General features: G+C 38.6%; 1 long non-coding RNA gene and 1 pseudogene across 3 annotated transcripts in view; one reads left to right on the forward strand and one right to left on the reverse strand.

Moving 5' to 3' along the window:
* The window catches only part of LOC105376704 (uncharacterized), a 51,865-nt gene extending 45,684 nt beyond the window's left edge, over positions 1-6,181 (reverse strand). The window contains exon 1 of the long non-coding RNA XR_932048.3: positions 5,871-6,181. This is a non-coding gene — a long non-coding RNA (uncharacterized LOC105376704). The remainder of the gene's footprint in view (positions 1-5,870) is intronic.
* A 159-nt stretch (positions 6,182-6,340) lies between these two features.
* WHAMMP4 (WHAMM pseudogene 4) lies at positions 6,341-25,485 on the forward strand (annotated as a pseudogene). 2 transcript variants are annotated; one of them, NR_146104.1, is made up of 8 exons: positions 6,641-6,972; positions 8,984-9,102; positions 9,528-9,684; positions 12,959-13,114; positions 14,196-14,365; positions 18,291-18,420; positions 19,674-19,858; positions 24,440-25,485. The product of NR_146104.1 is annotated as a WHAMM pseudogene 4, transcript variant 2 (transcript). The 2 variants fall into 2 exon arrangements; NR_146103.1 differs by lacking the exons at positions 6,641-6,972; positions 8,984-9,102; positions 18,291-18,420 and adding an exon at positions 6,341-6,598.
* Positions 25,486-25,585: the final 100 nt, after the last annotated feature.

Here is a 25,585-nt window from a genome sequence, read left to right on the forward strand (position 1 = left end):
AATATATCTACACTGGATAATTTGTATTTTCATGGACAGGAATTATTTGCAATTTACACAGTTGTGAAATAGGTAAAACAAACAAAAAGTGAAAGGTTCAGAAACCCCATACAATCAGTTAAACTAACATTTAGTTTTCCACTGAAAATAGTAATTTTTTGAGACCATTTCAAAGTTTTTCTTAATTTTTCTCTGCTCTAAAAAAGTCTATAAATTATTTCCAATGAACATTAGAGCTTTTTCTTTGTTGAATTAGTATTTTAAAAAATTTATGGAAGGAGACAGAGCATAAAAGCAGTCGCCAAGTTTATCAATTAAGTCGGTACGATTACAAATCCCAATTGAGAAATATTTTTAAGTATATTTTTCTTTCCAAGACAAATAGACATTAAACAGTCCTAATGTTAATATCCTTTATGTTACATATATATGTATAGATGTATAAGTATATGTATATCCTCATGTATATAAAAAGTTACAAACACATAGTTATTTCAGAGAATTATTTATGCAAATGTGTTGGGTTTTCTTTTTGTGAAGCTATGTTATCAAGAAGTTATTCTTAGTTTTACAGAAAATAAAACAGCTCTAGCTCTTTGTATCATAAGATAAATATCTGTTTATAAATATCAGTATTTTCTAATACTTCTAATGTACTCTTTTGGAGGTAATGGTATATGAAACCCTATAAGAGCAATTCTACTTCATTAATTAATTCGGAAGAAACACAAGTTTTTAAGGCCCAGTGTATACCAACAATTGACAAAGTCATTAAGGTAGACAAAGATGGGCAGAGCCTGGGCTTTGGCTATGAATGTTAGAAAATGAATCACTGAAAGTAAAACATGTTTAAAAGATTAAAATAACAGAAAATGGTTTGAAATTAAATTCAGTTATTGGCCATCAATTGGTCAGAAAGAGTAATTAAGAATTAGTCAAAGCTTTTTTCTCTTCATTTAGGTCAAATATGTCATAAAAATAGTCAATTTTAGCTTATTATAAGTCGATTATGTCAAAATGGTTGAACGACATGTCATTGAAATTAATCTTTAGCTTGTAATGCTATCATTTCAGTTTTAATTAATATTGGGGCCAAAATGTTCATTAGATACTGTTTTTAATGATCAGTTTTTATGCAAATGATTTATATAAGTCAGAACTTCAATTCAATGTTTGGTAGCTGTTTGATTTTTAGGACATTATATATTGAAATGTACACTGATTATCCTAAAGTTGTAAATATTTAAGAAACTTTTCAGCAAAAAGTCTAAAATAAAGATATATTTATATTATTTCCAAAACAGAAAATTTAAATTGATTCCCTAGTCAAAGAAACTGTTTGTAAATAAAATGTAACAAGCTATATATTGCTTGGCCCCCAGACATTTTAAAGTCACTTTTCCTTTTTATATACATGTTCTAATATCATAAACAGTGAGCTCAGAAATATCCTAGTTTGTCTTTTGTGTATTTTCAGCAGATTGTGCTGTTTCAAATTCTATTATTTTACTCCAATTCTTTTGTTCACATATTGCTGTTTTGCTAGCGTTTTTCATATTTTAAAATACATTACTATATTGTATATAGTAATATTGTGTTTCTATTTCTCTTTCTTCATGTTTTATTTTGTTCCATAACCTTTGGCTTGTCCTTTTTATTCCATATTCCCATTTGTAGGTGTAGTTTTCAAAGGTGCTTTTCTTATTTACACAAACATAAGACTTTTGTGCCGGGCGTGGTGGCTCACGCCTGTAATCCCAGCACTGTGGGAGGCCGAGACGGGCGGATCACGAGATCAGGAGATTGAGACCATCCTAGCTAACACGGTGAAACCCCGTCTCTACTAAAAATACAAAAAAAAAAAAATTAGCCAGGCGTGGTGGCAGGGGCCTGTAGTCCCAGCTACTAGGGAGGCTGATGCAGGAGAATGGCGTGAACCCGGGAGGCGGAGCTTGCAGTGAGCCGAGATCGCGCCATTGCACTCCAACCTGGGCGACAAAGCGAGACTCCGTCTCAAAAAAAACAAAAAAAACAAAAAACTTTTGAACCAGAATATTCTGAATGAGATCAAAGTCAAAGCTCAAACATTTCTTAAAAATGAGGTTTTTCTGAGTTGGGAACCAGAGTCATCTTCTATTGCCTGATGCAATAGGCATTGAGAATAGAACTTGTGACAACTCTCTATGCATTAACAATAGAAAAAATGGGATAAGATAGAGGCAAGGAACATACATTCAGGGAGCAAGAAGAAACACTGAGGAACTAATAGAAATTGTGCTTATCAAAATAAACTTACCAAGGTATGGTACCAATTCTCCTTTTTTTGTTCAGTCCATAATAGAGTTCTTAATGCTTTCAATTTTTTTCTTATTAATAATTTTCCTAAATATATTTTATTTGTTTGTTTGTTTGTTTTTTACATGGTGTCTCGCTTCATCACCGAGGCTGGAGTGCAGTGGCGCGATCTCGGCTTACTGCACCCTCCGCCTTGTGGGTTCAAGCAATTCTCCTGTCTCACCCACCTGAGTAGCTGGGACTACAGGTGCCCGCCACCACACCTGGCTCATTTTCGTATTTTTAGTAGAGACAGTATTTCACCTTGTTGGTCAGGCTGGTCTGAACTCCTGACCTCAGGTGATCCACCCGCTTCGGCCTCCTAAAGTGATGGTATTACTTCTGTGAGCTACTGCGCCTGGCCCTAAATCTATTATTTAAAAATCCACCTGTACAATTGGTATTCACAGAAATCTCCCATATATGTTATTATTTTATTCTCATAACTCTCTATGCCAAGTATAGATACATTATTGATGTGGAAAATTAGATCACAGAGATAAAGTGACTTTCCCAAGGTCAGTGCAGAAAGGGAAAAGTGAAAATTTGAAATTGTACCTGAAGAGTAAGAGCAAAGGGGTTAAGGAGTTATTCATAGATCTTTGTGCCTCAGAGGTCCTTACTGAGAGTTTTAATCCAAATGGTTTGGTAAATTTGGGGCGACAGGTATAACATGGCTTATGTGATGCTTAGAGTGTTTTGGAACCATCAAGATCTTTGCAATGGCATCACAGATAACAACCCCATCATCTTGTAAAACATGGACATGTTGGGAAACAATGTTTTAGTTCAGTCATTGAACTGACCCAAACTTCTGTGTTCATATTGTTATAGACCTCATAATTGTTAAGGTATAAAGAAGCATCAGAAGTTTTGTTTTTGTTTTTAATTACAAAGGAGTTAGGATATTCCTAACATCCAAAGTGAATTAAAATAATTCACTTTGATGTGAGAAAGAGCTTCTTGTCTTAGGGACACTGGTGAGGTGAATTCACAACTATGGGTTGTTTTAATTGAATTACATCCTCAGAGCTTTAGTTTTGAGCTCTGAATCTACAATCTGCATTTTGCAAGTAATCAATGGTATTTATTTAAGTGCTCTTGGTAAAGATGATGTGAATAGAGAAATCTGCTTATTTCTAGCATAAAATTGCTTATTAAGCAAAATAATAGAGCACTGCAAATTAACTAGTAAAAAATTGAAATCTTTAACTTTCACACCTTCATTTGATATTTACTGAATACTTTGGGGACTAGATTATATGTAATTTAGTTCAACTTTTGTTTAAAATAGGAAAATGAACTTTGAAAATAAGTACTTTTAAAAATATTTTAGAATGCAAGATAGTTTTCATGGAAACTTTCATGGAATCATATTCTTTATATTTTAGAATCAAGGTATGTTCCTACTTGGTACTTGATCAAGGAAATACCTAAATCAAGAACCATTCCAAATGGCTGTTTATTAAGTGTGATGGTTTACTAATGTCAACAAAAGTGAAAAAAATTATATTGAAGTATAAACTATAAATAATCTTGTTTAACATATTTATAAATACATTTTTGCCCATATTTGTATTTTGTACCTATTTATATAAAAAAACAAATATTATCTTTTGTACAAATATTTTAAGATCTGGCACTTTTTTAGCACCCCAGAAAAATATTTTTCAGGCTCTTAGCTGATGCTGAGAAAAGTCAGTCAGTCTCACATGTTACCATAGATTAATATTGCCTATCTTTGTCTTCATATAAATGGAAGCATACGGTATTTATTTTTTTCTGGCTTATTTCACTCAAAATTGCATTTGTGAAATCTATTTATGTTATGGACCAGTGTTTCATTCCTTTTTGTTTTGTGTAGCACCCTGTTGAATGAATATGGAGCTTTCCAATCCATTCTATCCTGATGAACATCCAGGTGTCTCTGTTGAAACTGCTGGTCATAAATTATGTGTTTAAATTTAGTAGATAATGATAATTATTTTTCCAAAATAGTTGTATCAACTTAATAACTCATTCAAATATGTGAAGACCTCCTAACAATCTAAAAAGATGGACTTCCAATTTCAAATAATAAATACAAAGATTAAGTACTTGAACAGGCAGTATATGCACATTTTTAAACATAAAAGATTGAGTTAAATTTTGAAAAATGTAGGCCGGGCGTGGTGGCTCACGCCTGTAATCCTGGCACTTTGGGAGGCCCAGACGAGCGGATCACGAGGTCAGGAGATAGAGACCATCCTGGCTAACACTGTGAAACCCCGTCTCTACTAAAAATACAAAAAATTAGCCGGGCGTGGTGGCGGGCACCTGTAATCCCAGCTACTTGGGAGGCTGAGGCAGGAGAATGGCATGAACCCGGGAGGCAGAGCTTGCAGTAAGCCGAGATTGCGCCACTGCACTCCAGCCTAGGCAACAGAGCGAGACTACGTCTCAAAAAAAAAAAAAAGAAAAGAAAAGAAAAGAAAAAAAAGAAACATGTAACTAAGAATCTCATTTGAGCTACATGTGTGAAAATATTTCTTTTACATTATCATATAACACAGTTTTTGGATATGACGAGTGCTGAACTGAGGCTTTTCACTTGATATGCATTACAAATTAGAATTTTTCACTCACAAAACATGCTTATGACAGTTTTATATATGAATAGAATTGTAAAAATTGCCTTAAGAGTTATTGAATAAAATGTTTAAAGTACCTCATAGGATGAGGAAAAAATGGAAGAGTTAACAAGGATACAGAGCATAAAAGAGAAGAATAAGAGTTCAAATAAAATCGAATGAAAAGACACCATCTTGTGTAACTCTGTAGTTAATTGTGCATGTGTGCTATTTTTCATGACTTGGAGCACGTTATTTTTGGCCAAGAGTTTCCATTCTATCTATGGATATGCCAGAAATTTCCTATTTTAGATCTTCTAGTCTCCAACTCTCAAGATAAAAAACAAAAATCATTAAAACCTCTGACTCTGATATTGAATGCCTGCATAAAAATCTCCTCCCATCACCTTGCAACAGATGACTTGCTCATACACCTTTTTGACTACCACTCCCCATCAAGGGTTCTCTCCTTCGAGACTACAGTAATTCTCTTTGTATTTCATATTATGTGCAAACTTTACTTTCAAAGAGTTGTTACCTATATTAATGTACTTACATCATTCACCGAATATATTTTCTCTATCAGCAAAATTGGTTTAGATATCTTGGATTAGGATAGAACACGTCACAACTTCTCCCCCCTTTATGATCAGTTTTTTTTTTTTTTTTAGTCGGACCGTTTTTCAGTTGGTGACTGTCAGAAATGAATTAAAGTTTTAAGAGAAGAATAGGTAAGGGTAAAGAGAAGGGTGTCCTTATGTATCAACTTTGCTTATTTAGTTTTTTCAAGTTCAACAAGACCCTCCTCTCCCTTCAAGGAAGATGATTCCTAAGCACGTTTGTTACTTCTATCAAAACAGCTGAGTTTTTTTTTTTTTTTTCATTCATGTTGTTAAAATACCAATAGTGGAGCGAAAAATGCTTCACCTGGGACTGTCCCCTGACAGGCAGTGCGGCGAGGTCAGGCCCGCGCCCGCCGAGTCCTAGGGCCGCTGCCGCCGACGGCCATGGAGGACGAGCAGCTCGACAGCCTGGAGGGCTGGGCGCCGGTCCGGCAAGGCCTCTTCGCCGATGCCGAGAGGCACCGGCTGCGCTTCCTGGTGGCGTGGAATGGCGCGGAGGGCAAGTTAGCTGTGACTTGTCACGACCTCACCGCGCAGCAGCCGCAGCGGCGCGAGGGGGCCCGGCTGGGGCTGGAGCCCAAACCCAAGGCCGCTGTGTCCCCGCCCAGCTGCCGTGTCCCCGCCCAGCTGCCGTGTCCCCGCCCAGCTGCCGTGTTCCCGCCCAACTGGGCCGGCCGGTTCTCGGCCGCGGGGTTCCGCGGCGCGCGCTGGCAGCTAGCGGCGCTGTGGCCGCCTCTGGAACGCTGCTCCCCGCAGCTGGACGTGGGCGGCGGCGGGGCCTGGAGTCTGGGGCTCGGGCTGTGGGCGCTGCTCTGGCAGGCGCGCGCGGGCCCCGGCGAGGTGGCGCTGCAGGAGCTTTGCGGGCAGCTGGAGCGCTACCTGGGCGCGGCGGCCCACGGCTGCGGCGGCGCCACCGTGCGCCACGCTGTTTTCGCGGCTAAAGGCCGCGCGGCTGACTGCGAGAGCCCGCGCGAGTTTCGAGAGCGGGCCCTGCGCGCCTGATGGGTCGAGGCGGACGCGCGGCTGCGTCAGGTAAGCGAGGCCGGGCCGCCGGCGTTTGACCGCGCTTGGGTGGCCTGGGACCCTGTGGGAGGCTTCCCCGGCGCCGAGAGCCCTGGCTGACGGCTGATGGGGAGGAGCCGGCGGGCGGAGAAGGCCACGGGCTCCCCAGTACCCTCACCTGCGCGGGATCGCTGCGGGAAACCAGGGGGAGCTTCGGCAGGGCCTGCAGAGAGGACAAGCGAAGTTAAGAGCCTAGTGTACTTGCCGCTGGGAGCTGGGCTAGGCCCCCAACCTTTGCCCTGAAGATGCTGGCAGAGCAGGATGTTGTAACGGGAAATGTCAGAAATACTGCAAGCAAACTGAAAACAACCCATCCATGTAGGAAAGAATAACACGGACTACACGTAAGCAATTCCAAGTCTGTGTCTGCGGGGACGTCGCAAGTGGGATAAAATGGTTTAAAGGAAGAAATGGCTTTTAGGAGTTAGGGTGTTTTGTTTTAAGTAATACAGACTTGGTCAAATGGAAAGCCGGTAGAAAGTGAGCTTTATTCATCAGTTTAACCGCATTAGTGCTCTTTTAAGCTTGAAAGAGGTAGTTTGAGAGAGTAATTGAGTGGTAAACTTACTGAACTTAGGGGACGGGGAAGTACATGTTCATAGAAGGGTTTAGGAGAAAGTATGCCTTCTAAATCCACACCCACGGTTTACTAAGCAGAGCCAGGCTGGAGTCTCAGCTCACTGCTCTTATTAACCTGAATGATTTTTTTCTGTGCATTCTTTTGAGGAAGGGGAGGTGAAAAGAAGAATTCAGCCTAAGCTAAATATAGAATAAGCTTTCTAAATTAAAATGGTTTTATAAAAGGAGCTTGTTAGTGGGGTCATTTTTGTACTGTGAGCTTTATGTGTAAATGTCTACACACCCACTTAACATGTGTTGATTTCACTTTAGACTATGAGGAAACCACAGGGGAGTTTCAGGCCAGTCAGCTTTTGATCTTCAACTTTATAACTTTCACCTTAGGATATGACGAGCCCACCGGAGTTTCAAAAATGGTATCATTTTGTATCAGACTTGTTTTTTACACTCTTGGTTTCTCACAGAGATAGGTGGTTTCTCCTTAAAATCGAACATTTATATGATGCATTTTACTGTAGTTACTATCAGAAAAGTTAGTTTTCCCAAATTTAAGTTCACTCTGGGGTACTATAGCGTGAATGTAGTTCATTCTGTTGAGCTAGTTGTTCATGTTAGTGTAGTTCACATATTTATCTGGAACTCAAAAATGAGGGGTTGAGAGGGGAAGCTAAAATTCAAAACATGTCCAAATATATAATTTTAATATTTTACTTTATATTTAAAATAGAAAAGCAATTGATTCTAGAATTAGATTAATTGCTAGCATTGCTAGCATATATAAAATGAAGCTGAATGTTTTAACTCTGGAATTTTTCTGAATAGTCTAAGAAATAAGGCTGAAGTGTATCACTTGCCTTAAGTTTACTTTTGCGTGTGTGTTTTAATTTTGTTCAGTGGGGCTTTCACTTAAAAAAAAAAACATAATATTATTACCTGGATAAAAAATACAGCTGAAAGTAGATCACTTTATCTTTAAGCAGAAGGATGGAAATAGAAGAATTTTAAGAATGTATTGGTTGAAAAACATCTATATTATTTTATTTTTATTTCTCTTCTTGTGGGAGTAAAATAATTTCCAACCAAATCAGTCCACCTAGATTATACACTGTTCAGTTTGTTTTCTGCCCTGCAGCACAAGCAATAACCAGCAGAGACTGGAACCACAGCTGAGGCTCTGTAAATGAGTTGACTGCTAAGGACTTCATGGGGATATTAACCTGGGGCATTAAGAGAATCAACATGCTAAAGTACTTGGAGACAGCTCTGTAATGTTTTATGAGGTTTTTTGTTTTTTTTTTTTTGAGACAGAGTCTTGCACTGTCGCCCAGGCTGGAGTGCAGTGGCGCCATCTCGGCTCACTGCAAGCTCTGCCCCTCAGGTTCACCCCATTTTCCTGCCTCAGCCTCCCCAGTAGCTGGGACTGCAGGTGCCCTCCACCACGCCCAGCAAATTTTTTGTATTGTTAGTATACACAGGGTTTCACCGTGTTAGCCAGGATGGTCTCAATCTCCTGACCTCGTGATCTGCCTGCCGTGGCCTCCCAAAGTGCTGGGGTTACAGGTGTGAGCCACCATGCCTGGCCCTTAGGAGCTTTTAAAAAGGAATACAGCCTCACAAAACCTTCACAGTCAGAAAAGTCAAATGAAAAAATATCCACACCTCAAACCTTCTTTTGGGTCCTTTTCGCTGCATACTTAGTGCATAGTTGAGATTAAATTTTGTACTCTGCCTCTCCATTTAATTATAAAAGTCTCCTTTTTTTTTTTTTTGAAACAGAGTTTCGTTCTTGTTGCCCAGGCTGGAATGCAATGGCACTGTCTCGGCTCACCGCAACCTCCGCCTCCCGGGTTCAAGCTATTCTCCTGCCTCAGCCTCCCCAGTAGCTGGGATTACAGGCATGCGCCACCACGCCCAACAAATTTTGTATTTTTAGTACAGACAGGGTTTCTCCATGTTGGTCAGGCTGGTGTCGAAGTCCTGACCTCAAGTGATCCACCCGCCTCGGCCTCCCAAAGTGCTGGAATTACAGGCGTGAGCCACGGTGCCTGGCCAAAAGTCTCCATATTATTAAACAATCTTCAGAAGCACAGTGCTGAATGACTACAGTAATAATATTCTGCCATGGATATATCATAATTTACTTAACAATTCTTGTTTTATTGGGCATTTTTGATGGAGGATGATGACATTTTCATATTTAATCAATATTTTAAATTGATGTATTGAAAGTTGAGAACATGAAGGTTTCTTTTGTTTAGTTTTGTTTGTTGGGTATGTATTACACTGTCTGACTTGAGCTTTATTCACATTTGCTCTCTAGGTTATCCAAGGACATGGAAAAGCCAACACCATGGTAGCATTAATGAAAGTTTACCAAGAGGAAGATGAAGCCTACCAGGAATTAGTTACCATGGCAACCATGTTTTTCCAGTACTTACTGCAGCCATTTAGGGCTATGCGAGAAGTTGCAACTTTATGTAAGCTTGATATTTTGGTATTTTTTTTAATTTTTATTTTATCACATTTACTATTTGTCATATATTATTTCTTTATTTACACTTAATGTTCAATCTCTGCACTTTGTTTGGGTTTACTTTTATGTTTCTTTACTTATTTATTGATAGAGATGAGGTTTTGCCATGTTGCTCAAGCTGGTTTCTAACTCCTGAGCTCAAGCAGTCTGCCCACCTCGGCCTCCCAAAGCGTAGCATTACAGGCGTCAGCCACTATGCCTAGTTCACCCTCATGTTTAAATATTGAATTTATATTTAAAATTGATAGAAAATGAAGACATTTATGTTGGTCATCTTACTAGCTTAAGATTCCTGCAGATTTTAAAGAGTTAAGAGTTTTTTTGTATCGATGCCTTTTTTTTTTTTTTTTTTTTTTTTTTTTGAGATAGGGTCTCTCTTTGTCAGCCAGGCTAGAGTGCAGTGGCACAATCTTGACTCACTGCAACCTCCTCCAGGTTCAAGTGACTCTTCTGCCTCAGCCTCCTGAGTAGCTGGGATTACAGGTGTGCACTCCATGCCCAGCTAACTTTTTTTGTATTTTTAGTAGAGACGGGGTTTCACCATGTTGGCCAGGCTGGTCTCAAACTCCTGACCTCAAGTGAGCCACGCGTCTCAGCCTCCCAAAGTGCTGGGATTACAAGCGTGAGCCACTGCGCCCAGCCTGATGAATTGTTTTTGATGTGATATTTATTTGCTTCAGTTTGTTTTCCTCTAAGGACTCATCCAAATTTCTTAAAATAGGATGAAAATTTAAATAGCAGGACCCTAGATTGTAATTCAGTAACTTAAATTTTAGTAAATGCTGTTATCGCTCTTGTTTCATTGAGCCATCAAACAACCGTGTGACCCCATTCAGAAAAGACATTCTTATTCCAGTGTTACAAATGAATCTGGAGTCCAGAGTTGTTAAATATCTTACCTTGGGTCTCAACAACGGGAATCAGAAGACACCTAAGAGATCTCTTGATTTCTGCCCCCTGCACTGGGCCATCTTTCCACATATAATCTCATGCCCCCTGCCAGATGATTGTACTATAAAAATAGTATCACATTTAGATGAAACTCATGCCACTCTAACCTGTGGATAAAGTTGTTCTGTTCATTATTTTGAAAGTCTATTATTTGGAGAGTCTACTTCTTGCATATATTTTGCTTTCTTCTTCTGTTTTTTTTTTTTTTTTGAGATGGAGTTTCGCTCTTGTTGCCCAGGCTGGAGTGCAATGGCGTGATCTCAGCTCACTGCAACCTCCACCTCCTGGATTCAAGCGATTCTCCTGCCTCAGCCTTCCGAGTAGCTGGGATTACAGGCATGTGCCACCATGCCCGGCCTGGCTAATTTTGTATTTTTTTAGTAGAGATGGGGTTTCTTCACGTTGGTCAGGCTGGTCTTGAACTCCTGACCTCAGGTGATCTGCCCACCTCAGGCTCCGAAAGTGCTGGGATTACAGGCATGAGCCACCGCACCCGGTCTATATTTTTCCTTTCTTTAAGTAACAGCTGTTTTAAGATACCATTCACAGATTATATATATATATATATATATATATATGTATATATATATATGTATATATTTATGAATATATGTATGTATATATATGTGTATATGTGTGTATATGTGTATATATGTGTATATGTATGTGTATGTGTATGTATATGTATGTGTATATATGTATATATAAAAGATGTACAATTCAGTGATTTTTAGTATATTGAAAGTTGCACAATGGTCATTACTATGTAATTTCAGGACATTTTCACCTCCAAAAGAAACCCTGTACCCATTAGTCACTCCCAACCCTGGGCAACCACCAATCTACTTTCTGTCTCTGTGGATTTCCCTACTCTGGACATAGCAACAGCATTATTGAATATGTGGTCCTTTCACTCAGCACAGTGTTTGCAAGACTAATCCATGTTGTAGCAAATACCAGGATTTCATTTCTTTTTATTGCTCAGTAATATTCATTGTATGGATATATTGCATTTTATTCATCAGTTGATGGACATTTGGGTTGTTTCCACTTTTTGGCTATCATGAATAATTCTGCTATGAATGTTTGTGTATGAGTTTCTGTGTAGACATATCTTTTCATTGCTCTTGTGTACGTACTGAGGAGTAGGATTGCTGGGTCCTGTGATTACTCAATGTTTAACCTTTTGAAAGACGCCAGATGGTTTTCCAAAGTGGGTGCCTCATTTATATTCCCAAAAGCAGTAAATGAGGGTTCCAATTTGTCCACATTATCACCAACACTTGTAATTGTGTGTCTCTTTGGTTACAGCCATCCTAGTGGGTGTGAAGTGGTATCTCGTTATGGTTTTGATTTGTAATTCCTTGTCGGCTAACTTGTACATATTTCTTATGCTTTGTAGAAGAAAAATTGCATATTGGATGACATAGCTGTACATGTCTTAGTTCAGGCTGTTATAACAAAGTACCGTAGATTAGTGGCTTATAAACAACAAAACTTTTTTTCTCACAGTTCTGGAGGCTGGGTAGTCTAAGATCAAGGTGCTGGCAGATCCAGTGTCTTGTGAGGGCCAGTTTCTTAATTTGTAGATGACTGTCTTGCTGTGTCTTCACATGGTGAAGAGCAGAGAGAGAGATCCTGTGTCTCCTCTTCTTTTTATAAGGGCATTAATCCCATTCTTGAGGGCTGCACCCTCATGACCTAATTACCTCCCAAAGGCCCCATCTTCAAATACCATCACACTGGGGATTTAGGCTTCAACATATGCATTTTGGGGGGACCCAAACATTCAGTCCAATACCAGTGCATGTTATAAGCATGAATATACAGATACTGTCTTTTAGGTGATTATATTACATATCCCTAAAAGAAACGATAACAACAGCTAACACTTAAGTGCTGTGTTCCAGGCCCTATGCTGAGTGCTTGACAACACAGATCACTCATTTAAACAATTGTGTATTATTATTAATAGAGAGAAGCATAAGTTGACAACATTCCTCTCTAGAAAAAGTTATTCTAGGCATGTGAAGTGAAAGTAGGTTTTTTTTTCCCCTTTATGCCCCAGAGTGTCCTTTTGTCTTCCAGGTGGTGCTCAGCTTAGAGCCTTATTCATATGCAGTAAGGGACTGCTGAATGAATGAAAATTTAACTGACTGAGTAGTACTGTAGTTAAATTAATCCATGTGACCAATTTCCTTTCAATTTCCTAATGGGTCAACATAACTATTAGCTCTTAGTAAGATAATTTTCTCTTCTGTCTGTAGAATTCCTTGGATGAGGATGACGTAGGTCCTACGTCTCCAGGATAGTTGCCCTGGAGAAAGAAGCTGAAGAATGGACCAGACGGGCTGAAGAAGCTGTTGTCTCTATTCAAGATATCACAGTGAATTATTTTAATTAGACAGTAAAAGCATTAGCAGGTGATAATCTAAAAAATGCTTTACGCAGATACGTGTAATTGATTGTCATTTTATTCATATACCATTTGAGTCCCTCTTACGCACTAGGCACTGTGTTTTCTGGGTGGCAAGAATTCAGTGTCAAGCATTAAGAGACATTGTACAGTCTGGTGAAGGGAGAGAAATCTTAATTATCTATTCACTGAAGCACATGGAAAATGGCAGTGACAATAAATGGCACAAAGAAGAGAGACATCGGGCTCTGAGGGTCTGTGAGAGAGAAATTGGGCTTGATCAGGGTGGTCGCTGAAGGCCTCTGAGAAGTGGTGCTTGCCCCAGTAGCTGAAGGGTAAACGGAAGTTGAGAGAATAGAAAAAGTGAGGAGTGTTCCGGGCAGAAGGAATAGCACTGGTAAAGGTCCCCTGGCTTGAGGGAAGTTGGCAAATAGGAGCTTACAGAAAACCTGCAGGGCTGGATCACACAGAGTGCAGGACAGTGTGGCACGAGGGAGAATGCTGGCAAGACAGGCAGGGATCAGACCGTGCAGGGGCTTGCGGGCTGGGTGAAGGACTTTTTTTCAGTCTTAAATAATTGTTAATAAAAACACCAAATAGGAAACAACTTAATGTCTGTCAGTTTGTTAAGTTATGGTACATTCATAAAAGAGAAAACTACATAGCTATTAAGCATGATTCTTGATTTTTTTTATAAATGGCAAGAGTGTCTGATATATTGTGCAGAATCAGCAAGATATAAAGCAGAATGATAATCCTGGTTTTTTGGTCAAACTATCCATATGAGCCTGTCTGTCTAGCTAGACATAGAAACAATATGGAAGCAAGTGTGCCAAAATATAAGAAGCAGTTGCCTCAACTAGGTGAGATCATGACTTATTATTGTCCTTTTAAAAATTGAATACCTAAAATTGTATATTAATGACCATGTATTATTTTTATAATAATAAAAAAGTTAATAAAACAAAATTTCTTTTAAAAAAGATGTTCTGCAGGTAGTATGGAAGCAATAAAAAAAGAATTAGCTCATGATCAATGTTTCCCTTTTTAATGAGGTGTAATTATATTTTATTTTTATAATCCAACAGGAATGCAGAAAGAAATGGAACAGGATGTGAAGAGATTTGGCCAGGCTGCCTGGGCCACAGCAATTCCCAGGTTGGAAAAACTTAAGCTAATGCTAGCTCAAGAGACTCTGCAACTCATGAGAGCGAAAGAATTGTATTTAAATCGCAAAAGAGCTGAAATTCAGGGAAAGGTAAGACAAAGATAAACGTAACTTTGTTTTAAAACTACACTTTTATTTTATTTATTTTTTTATTTTTTTTGAGACGGAGTCTCGCTCTTTTGCCCAGGCTGTACCACAGTGGTGCAGTCTCGGCTCACTGCAAGCTCCACCTCCCGGGTTCACGCCATTCTCCTGCCTCAGCCTCCCGAATGGCTGGGACTACAGGCGCCCACCACCACGCCCAGCTAATTTTTTGTATTTTTAGTAGAGACGGGGATACACTGTGTTAGCCAGGCTGGTCTCGATCTCCTGACCTCGTGATCCGCCCGCCTCGGCCTCCCAAAGTGCTGGGATTACAGGCGTGAGCCACCATGCCTGGCCCCACTTTTATTTTTTAAAAAGTTTGTGTAAATAAGGGATACAAGTACTGTTTTGTTCCATGGATATATTGTGTAGTGGTGAAGTTTGGGCTTTTAGTGTAATCTTCACCTGTATAATGTAATTGTACCCACTAAATATTTCTCATCCTCCCTCCCACCCTCTTACTCTTCTGAGTCTCCAGTGTCTATTATTCCACACTGTGTGTGTATACACACTACTTAGCTCCCACTTATAAGTGAGACCATGTGGTAAAGCACACTTTTATTTTTAGATAGCACTTTTCTTTCCAGGCATCGTTAAAGAGCTTCTTTTCTTCACTTATTCTAACACTATCTTCTATGGAAGGTTAGACATAAAGTTTTCCTTTAGTTAAGATGTTTCAAAATACCATATTATAGGATTTACTTTATAGTAACACCGAGCCCAGTATTGAAGTGGGTACTGTACTTGAATATCAATCCAGCAATGTTTTCAGTACAGCTTTAAAATAATCAAAGAGATACTTCACTGAAGGATCATAGACACTTAAGTTTTTTCCTATAATCTTATGACCTTAAAGCAGAAAACACTGTAACCACCTGTCTTAGTTGGCTAAGGCTGCTATAACAAGATTAAATATCACAGATTGGGTGGCTTCAACAACGGACATGTATTTCTCACAGTTCTGGAGGCTGGGAAGTCCAAGATGCCTGCAGATTCACTGTCCGGTGAGGATCCTCTTCCTGTCTGGTAGACAGCTGCCTTCTTAACTGAGTGCTCATATAGCCTTTCTTCTGTGTGTAAGTTTAGAGAGAAAGAAAGTGATCCCTGTCTTTCTCTTCTAATGGCACTAATCCCATGATGGGGGTGCTATCCTTTTGACATAATCTGAACCTAATTACTTCCAAAGGACCCACCTCCAAATAACATCACATTGGGAGTTAGAGTGTCAACATATGAATTTTGTGGGGACACCAATATGCAATACATAATAATACCTCATTGCCATTTATGTTTCTCAAAACCTAAATGTTTTTCTGTTTCAAGGATGAGATAAAATATTAGCATCACTAGATGAAATGAAAAAGTGTTTCTTTCCTATTTGCTTTTTTATATTTAGTATTGAACAAGGAATAGAAAATAGCTAGAATGCTTCTGAAGTTTGTTTTTAATATACTATTTATTTTAACTTATTTTTCTTTTTTCTATGAAAATAAGATGGAAGATCTTCCAGAACAAGAAAAAAATATAAATGTTGTAGATGAATTAGAAATGCAATTTTATGAAATTCAGTTAGAACTATATGAAGTTAAATTTGAGATATTAAAAAACGAAGAAATACTGCTTACTACACAGTTGGACTCTCTTAAAAGACTTATAAAAAGTAAAGTTTATATTTAAGTATATAGATTACAATGTTTATAAATTTAAGGAAATACAGACCATATTATCAATTACTTTTTGTAAACTGTAACATCTGAAAATTTCCTAAAGTTTTCCTTCAGTAGTTTATTATTCAAATAATATATTCATTGTTAGCACATAGCAAAACAAAGAAAGAAAAATGATTATTACTCCAATCCCATCATCTAGAGATGCTTAGTGTTTGGCTGGGCACAGTGGCTCACGCCTATAATCCCAGCACTTTGGGAGGCTGAGGCGGGCGGATCACTTGAGGTCAGGAGTTCCAGACCAGTCTGACCAACATGGTGAAACCCCATCTCTACTAAAAATACAAAAATACTAAACCCTGTCTCTACTAAAAATACAAAGTCCGATGTGGTGGCACGTGCCTGTAATCCCAGCTACTTGGGAGGCTGAGGCAGGAGAATGGCTTGAACCCGTGAGGTGGAAGTTTCAGTGAGCCAAGATCGTGCCACTGCACTCCAGCCTGGAAGACAGAGCGAGACTCCGTCTAAAAAAGAAAAAAAAAAAAAGAGATACTTAGTGGTAACAATTTGCTGTATAACTTTGTAGATTTTAAAATATGCTGATATATAAAAATATAAATTTTTAACCAAAACTACATAACCAGTTCAGTAACATCTTTTTAAAAATTTTTTAATTTTTATGGGTGCATAGTAGATATATATATTTATGGGTTACATAAGATATTTTGACACAGGCATACAATGCATAATAGTCTCTTTTTCATTTAATACATACTAATTGTCTATTTCAGAAATAATAAAAGTATCAAAATTTTAATGGCTGCATAGTATTCCATTATATGGATATACCGTGATTTCCAAATTTCCGCTGTTTTGAACAGTAGTGTAGTGAACTTTCCTTTACACATGTCTTTTTGAGTATAGGACAGATTATCTCCTTAGAATAAATATCTAAGGATGGAATTATTGGGTCAAGGACAATGTATATTTTACATTTTGCTACGTAATAATACAACAATCATCTGAGATACATTTTTCCTCACCTGCGTATTATTTTCTGATTTCTAAATTTCATACTATGTAGTGGCCCTCTAGATAGGTTGTACATTTAAAATGACGCTCCCAGGCTGGGCGTGGTGGCTCACGCCTGTAATCTCAGCACTTTGGGAGGCTGAGGGGAGCAGATTACTTGAGGTCAGGAGTTCAAGACCAGCTTGGCCAACGTGGTGAAACTCTGTCTCTACTAAAAATACAAAAATTAGCTGGGCGTGGTGGTGGGTGCCTGTAATCCCAGCTACCTGGGAGGCTGAGGCAGGAGAATCGCTTGAACCTGGGAGGTCGAGATTGCAGTGAGCTGAGATGGCGCCACTGCACTCCAGCCTGGGCGACAGAGTAAGACTCTGTCTCAAAAAAAAAAAAAAAAAAAGACGCTCCCATCAGCAGAATATGAGTGTGTATGTTTCCCAGACTCATGCCATTTTTTTGCATTTTTGCTTGCTTGACAGAGAAAATGGCAGTCTTCCAATTTTCATTTATTTAATTATGAATGAATATTGAACAAAATTTTGTATGTTTACAAGCCATTTGTACTTATTTTATGAAATGCCTAGTCATAGTCTTTGTCCATTTTTCTTTGGAATATTTCCTTTCGACATTAAGAATAATATTCTCTATTGTCTGTCATATGTTGCAAATAGTCTCTCCTTGTCATTTGCGTTTTCTTGCCTTTCAGAAATATTTAATTTTTATGAAGTCGTGTTTATTGATTTTTTCCCCTATGGCTTCTGCTTTTAGTATTATGTCTGGCAATAGGCTCCTATCCCAAAATTATGTCAATATATACTTATGTTTTCTTTCAGTATGTTTATGATGTTACTTTTTAAAACATTTAATTCTTTAGTCCAGGTGGAATTTATTTTGAATGTGGTAGGAATTGAACCTTTCCCTCAAATTGTTAAGCAGTCCCAATCACTGATTTTAAAAACATTTTCCCTAAATGTTTAACATTTCTCCAGTTAAGCATTAGATTGACTTTGGTCTGTTTCTGAGTTGTTCTCCTCCATTGGTTCGTGAGTGGCTTCTGCTGCTGGCTCCATACTGTTCCCACGACTGTCTTGGAGGCACATTTTAGGGTCTGGTAAGGCAAGTACCCCCCACATTACTTCACAAGTTTTCTGACTATTTTCACTCCTTTATTCTTCCAGATGAAATTTAGAATCAAGTTCAAAACAAAAAACTCTTTGGAATTTTGATTGTGATTTTGCTTAAAATTAGAGATTACTTTGGGGAGAATAGTGGTCTTTGCAATTTTGAATCTTCCTACCCAAGAACATGGTATGTCTCTCTCCATTTATTTAAATCTTTTTTCCTAAAGTTCCTCCAAGTTTAATAAATTTCTTCACATAGATCCTGAACTTTTAGTTTAATCCTGAGTATTCAGAATTTTTTTCAGTAGTTTCAGGTTATAAGCATTTTACATATTTAGGAAAAAAATTACATTAAAAAACAAGTTAATCTGGAAGGATGCATGCCAAATTGTTCATAATGTTTTTCCTCTGAGAATGACTCAGAAGGTTTGGGGAATGAGCAATAGAATTTCACTGTTTATTTGATGTACTTCTGGAGGGTTTGAATTTGTTACAGTAAGCATGACTTTTAAAAAATCAATATGTAATCAAGATTAAATATCACTAAGGCATCTTAATAATATATTGCTGGTAGAATATAAGTTGCCTTTCTGGAGGGCAGTGTGGCAATGGGTATCAAGATCCTTAAACACTTATCTGCTAAGGAAATGATAAAAAGTGTACACAAAGATTTATACAGAGATGTTTATCACAGTGAAATGAATAATAATGGAACATTGGAACAGCCTAACAACGTGGATTGCTTAAATTAGAGAATACTATGCTGCCATTAAAATTTATCTTTTTAAATTTTTTTTTATTTTTGGAGATGGAGTCTTGCTCTGTTGCCCAGGCTGGAGTGCAGTGGCACGATCTCGGCTCACTGCAACTTCTGCCTCCCAGGTTCATGCTGTTCTCCTGCCTCAGCCTCCTGAGTAGCTGGGATTACAGGCACACGCCACTGTGCCCAACTAGTTTTGTATTTTTAGTAGAGACGGGGTTTTGCCATGTTGGCCAGGCTGGTCTTGAACTCCTGACCCTCAGGTGTGCCGCCTGCCTTGGCCTCCCAAAGTGCTGGGATTACAGGCGTGAGCCACCGCACCTGGCCTAAAGATTTATTTCCATCCCATGGAAAATGTTCTTTTAGAACTCCATTGATATGTGTAGCTATGTAAGTAGTATGTGTATGTGCGTGTGTATATATACGTATGTCTGTACAGGTATATATACATGCATATACTACTTGTATATACACACATGCTACTTAATACATGTGTATAGTCATGTATATATACACGTGTATATGTATATTACATTTATACACATACATTTTTTATATGTTAATAGTGATTCTCAGTGGTGGCATTACAAGTGATCTTTATTTTCCTTACATTTAAAAAAATTGAGTGCATTTTTACAAATAATAAAATATGTTTTAAACAATCATTAATACCTTTTTAGAAAAACAGGATGAAGTTGTCTATTACGATCCATGTGAAAGTCCAGAGGAACTTAGTCATTGACTGTGGTGGGGCTGCAGGACGATAAGAATTCGGAAGTGAAAGAACTCAGAAGGCAGTGCCAGCAGCTGGAGTCTGTTAAACGGAGCAGTCTGTGTCAAAAGAGCTTCTCTCCAGAGTAGAAAGGTAGGTACGCTCAGAGCGGCTTTCTTTTCTTTTCTCTTCCAGAGATTTATTCTTGTATGAAGGATAAAGAGGTATTGAAATAAGGTTTTTACCAACACAGTGATTAATTTTTTGTGTGCTTATGTACTTATCCATGGCTATAGTTAAAATGATTTTTAATATTTTTCTTAAAAATATTATTTTTTTCTTTTGGGTTTTAAGCATTTAGCAAATCTCAAGGTTTTAATTTATTCATTTAACAACTATTTGTTGAATGCCCACTGCATACACAGGCACTTTTATTTTTATTTTTTTGAGACAGAGTCTTGCCCTGTCACCCAGGCTGGAGTGTGGAGGCAAGATCTTGGCTCACTACAACTTCCGCCTCCTAGGTTCAAGCAATTCTCGTGCCTTAGCCTGCCAAGTAGCTCGGTTTACAGGCACGCGCCACCACGCCCAGCTAATTTTTGTATATTTTGTAGAGACGGGGTTTTGCCATGTTGGCTAGGCTGGTCTTGAACTCCCGACCTCAAGTGATCCGCCCACCTTGGCCTCCCAAAGTCCTGGGATTACAGGTGTGAGCCACTGCCCCTGGACCACAGGTACTTTAAAAACCACAATAGGTAGAAACTCTATTTCTAATAACCAACTATAACAATTCTAAATATATTTTACTGTAAATTATTGAGTACACAAAACAATAACAGGTCAGCTCACCTCAGATTTAATACTTAAACATTAAAGAATATCAACCTACTTGCAAGAAACTTAACAAAACCTAAGGAACATAATACAAATAAAACTTTACCTATCCAGATTATAAGCTGGATATTATAATATCCAGGAAAATATCCAGGATGTTAGAATGGCTTGAAACAGAATTGAAAATTTTTGAGCTATAAGACACATAGGAGAAATTTTAAGTTCATTTTTTTTGGATGAGACATTTATTAGTCTCAACAAGACTGAATGATTTTCTTTTAAGGTCACACATTTAAATAGTTAACAGGAGAAATACCAACCAGAATCATAGTCAAATACCCACCTACTCCCTTTCCAAGACAACTAAGGTCTCAAATTGCGCCCATTTTTCTCAAATTATTTCTAGAATATTTAGCAAAAGAGGCTTTTAATTTGGCATATCTTTGTCTACAATTTTGTAGTTTGTGTAAAGAAAGGTAGATTAAGGGAATTTCATTTTAAAGGTGAGAATCAGAATGACATTTGTGAAGCTATGATGCCTGTGCCATCTGGCATACACGAGGGTGTAGTACTAAATGGGATCAGAATGAGCTCCTTTTGGAAGGAAACCTTTAATAGACTGGGAAACATTAAGGGAATCTTCCCTTTTTTATTTATTTTATTTTATTTTATTTTATTTTATTTTAGATGGAGTCTCACTCTGTTGCCCAGGCTGGAGTGCAGTGGCGCAGTCTCGGCTCACTGCAAGCTCCGCCTCCTGGGTTCACGCCATTCTCCTGCTTCAGCCTCCTGAGTAGCTGGGACTACAGGTGCCCGCCACCACGCCCGGCTAATTTTTTGTATTTTTAGTAGAGACGGGGTTTCACCGTGTTAGCCAGGATGGTCTCGATCTCCTGACCTTGTGATCCACCCGCCTCAGCCTCCCAAAGTGCTGGGATTACAGGCGTGAGCCACCGTGCCCAGCCTCTTATTTTTAATAGAGCATTGGAAAATGAATTCTGTATACCTGGTTAATGAAGGAAATCCAGATTCGTTGCCAAAACCAAGTTTTAAAGGAATTTGCAATCCTTCACAGTTCATTCAAGGAGGCAATGGAAATTTTGATGAAGAAATTTTTTTAAATCTTTCTTAAAAGGAGTCCTTACATTGGTATTGTATCATGACTAAAGTCTTCCTCCCTCTCTCCCTTCTATGCTTTTTGTTTCTGTTTTCTATCTGTCAATGACATCAGTTTCATGGATATAAATGGTTAAAAGACAATGATTACAACACACAGTTGAGTGACACAAATCTTGTTGTAGTGTTAGAAATACATCAATACATTGGGATCATAAAGAGAAATGGCAAGAAAAAAAATCTAAGTTAATAACAGAAAATGCTGATTCCCACAGTCAGTGTAGAAAATAACACGTTTTTTTTTCTGTCAGTGGAGATAACTGAGACTAGTTAATATTGTCAATTCTGTTCCTTCTGACTGAGCCAGGTGAGGCAAAATTTAGCATATGAGTTGAGGGACAAAACTATTACCTTGGCAACATAAAAATTAATACTGTCTACATTGTTTACTAGGAAATGCATGCAAAATTAATACACTCTTGGTAGTACAGGTTGGTTTCACTTCTATAGTGTGTGGTTAATAGAAAGCTGATTCAACAGACGATAGATTCAACAGACGATGTAGAATTGTCTAAAATCCGGCCGGGCGCGGTGGTTCACGCCTGTACTCCCAGCACTTTGGGAGGCCGAGGCGGCAGATCACAGTGTCAGGAGATCGAGACCATCCTGGCTAACATTGTGAAACCCCGTCTCTACTAAAAATACGAAAAAATTAGCCGGGAGTGGTGGTGGGCGCCTGTAGTCCCAGCTACTCGGGAGGCTGAGGCAGGAGAATGGCGTGAACCCAGGAGGCGGAGCTTGCAGTGAGCCGACATCGCGCCACTGCATTCCAGCCTGGGCGACAGAGCGAGACTCCATCTCAAAAAAAAAAAAAAAAAGAATTGTCTAAAATTCATCATCAGTGAGTCCATGGCATGTTTTGGAATTTATTCACTTGTTTGCCTCAGGAACAGTAGCTGTTCAGATTTGTTCTGTCTTTGATTTTGGAAATGAGGTTACCGTGCTCTGTAGTGTGAGGAAGATGACATGGCATAATTAGGCAAACGGCTAGGCATTTTCTCAGCAGTAAATTACCAGTGCCCTTACTTGCCATGATACCCACAACAGGCAGAGGCAGTTTCCTGAGGCAATCCAGGCCACAAAGAACTGTACATTTGGGGAAAACATATCTTCAAATATATATGTTAAAATCTAAAAAATTGGTTAGTATGTATTACTTTTGTGGATACTTAAACATTCCCTATGCATAAAGACCTAGTTAAAGAGATGCAGGCTTTTGGCATGTTAAATAACTCCTTGATGAGAAATCACACTACGAATAATAAATATTACTTAATAAAAATGAAAAATAATGAGATTAGTTACTATTGAACTATTCTTGCTTAGAATGCCCCTGAATTTCAGTCATTGAAATTCACTTGTACCTGGGTAAGTTACAAGTTCTTATTTGTGCTGGTTTCTGTTCCATTGGCAATTAAAATTTTGGTAAGTTGAATAAAAGATCTTTCTAAAAAGGGAGTTTTTTTTTTTTTTTCTTTTTTGAGGGGGACGGAGTCTCGCTCTGTCGCCCAGGCTGGAGTGCAGTGGCACGATCTCGGCTCACCGCAAGCTCCACCTCCGGGGTCCATGCCATTCTCCTGCCTCAGCCTCCTGAGTAGCTGGGACTACGGGCGCCCGCCACCACGCCCGGCTAATTTTTTTTGTATTTTTAGTAGAGACGGGGTTTCACCGTGTTAGCCAGGATGGTCTCCATCTCCTGACCTCGTGATCCGCCCTCCTCAGCCTCCCAACGTGCTGGGATTACAGGTGTGAGCCATCACGCCCGGCCAAAAGGGAGTTCTTATATTGGCAGTGTATCATGATTAAAGTTATCCTCCCTCTTTCTCTCCCTCCCACATATATATTTTCGTGTCAGTATATGTATATGTGATTTGTGCCATTTGTGTGTGTGTAGGTAAATGAAAGTGGCATCAAGAGAATCTCACGTTAAAAAAAATTTGAGATAGTACAATTCTTATGCATCATATGTTGCATAATGTTTGACTATTAAGAAATTTGCATCACACGTCTACTTATTTCATTAAACATGTTACAGTCAATTAATTTACTTACACCCTCCATTTCCTTCTTCCCCCTCTCTCGTTCTCCTGTTGCAGGGTCATTATACGTTCCTACTCACAAAATGTCCTTGTTTTTTCCCTTACTCCTGTCATTGATCTTCTGAATCTTTCCGGCGAACTTAACATGGATGTTTTGATAGAAAGCTCTGGCATTAACTCTGGAGTTGTTTTGCAAGGAAGGTTGTTCGCTTTTTCACCATTTTTTTTTCAGGTCCTTGAAGTGTTTTCACATAGATATTTCACAAGAGCCATTTCAGAATTGAGAACATTTGGCGTGCACTCTTCCTCTTTTGGTCCCACAGTTTTTATGTGTCCTACTTGAAATTATGTTTGCTCCCGTTTCAATTGTAATATTGCACTTACTCATTAGTTTTTAGTTTGAACTCTCCTGCGAGGTCTAATGTAGAGTTTGGACAAGAACACAGATTCATAATAAACCTACCCAGTCAATTTGGTATAAAGGCTTAGAAGGTGGAACTGGCCACATTTTGAATTGGAGGTAAGGATCAGGAATGCTAATGGAGAGACATAGGATTTTCTTATGGAAACAAGAAACAAATAACCTCTGGGCAGTATTAGAGCCCAGAGAGTGATAAGCCTCTTCTAACTTCAATATTCTATGTACAAATTCACAAGACTTTTTTTTTTCTTTCTTTTTTTTGAGACGGAGTCTCACTCTGTAGCCCAGGCTGGAGTGCGATGGCGCGATCTTGGCTCACCACAAGCTCCCCCTCCCGGGTTCACGCCATTCTCCTGCCTCTGCCTCGTGAGTAGCTGGAACTACTGGCGCCTGCCACCACATCCAGCTAATTTTTTTGTATTTTTAGTGCAGACTGGGTTTCACCGTGTTAGCCAGGATGGTCTGGATCTCCTGACCTTGGGATCCGCCCGCCTCGGCCTCCGAAAGTGCTGAGATTACCGGCGTGAGCCACTGTGCCCGGCCGAGACTTTTAATTATGCAATGCCAGACTGCATTGCATAAACCAAAGGCCAACAGAGAGGTGACCTTTCAAATTACTGGCACAAGAAGAGCTGAGATCAGAAAGCTCCAACTTAATGCAAACATCGACAAGAAATCCGACAGAAATGACTTCTGTGTCTGGTCAACTTAACATAACATGACATATTGTCAAGCGCATTTGGCTTTTTAGGTAGAATTGTCTATAAAGGTTTAACTGCTTTAGAAAATATAAATGTGAAGATTTGTGGTATTTGGGTTTATATATAAGATATTTCTACATTGAAAAGAGACTGGAAAAGCTTGGTATAAGATTTGTAAAATATGTTTGTAATAATGCTAATGGAAGAGGTGAGATTTGGGTGGGGTGGGGTGTAGATGGGAACATGGTTTGGGGATTGGGGAAAGGGAAGTCATGCTGTTAATAAAATAGTGAGGCATGTTGTATAAAGTGTGTTTTATGTCTCAATTGAAATGTTATAGAGATAAATTTAAAATAGATCATGATGGGTTTTGAATCTGATTTCTAATTTTAAAATGTTATGAGCTTTTGTTGCTTTCCTATTTCATACACATTTCTTTATGGGTTTCACTTAGACTGCATGAAATTGCAGATGCCAATTACCTTTTAACAAAATTAAATTCACATATATGTATAATTTGCATGTATATATCCATGGAATTTTTTATTCTACACGATATATTATTTTAAAATGGTTTTTCAATGACAAAATAAAAAGTATTTTTCTATACTTTCAGTTTTCTGGTTTGAATTTTTTCTGGCAACACTAATTTTCACCTACCTATACTCATTGATAGTATAAAATTGTATAAGTGCATATTTTACCATGT

This window comes from Homo sapiens, chromosome 15 (genome assembly GCF_000001405.40).
Source record: "Homo sapiens chromosome 15, GRCh38.p14 Primary Assembly".
NCBI lineage: Eukaryota > Metazoa > Chordata > Mammalia > Primates > Hominidae > Homo > Homo sapiens.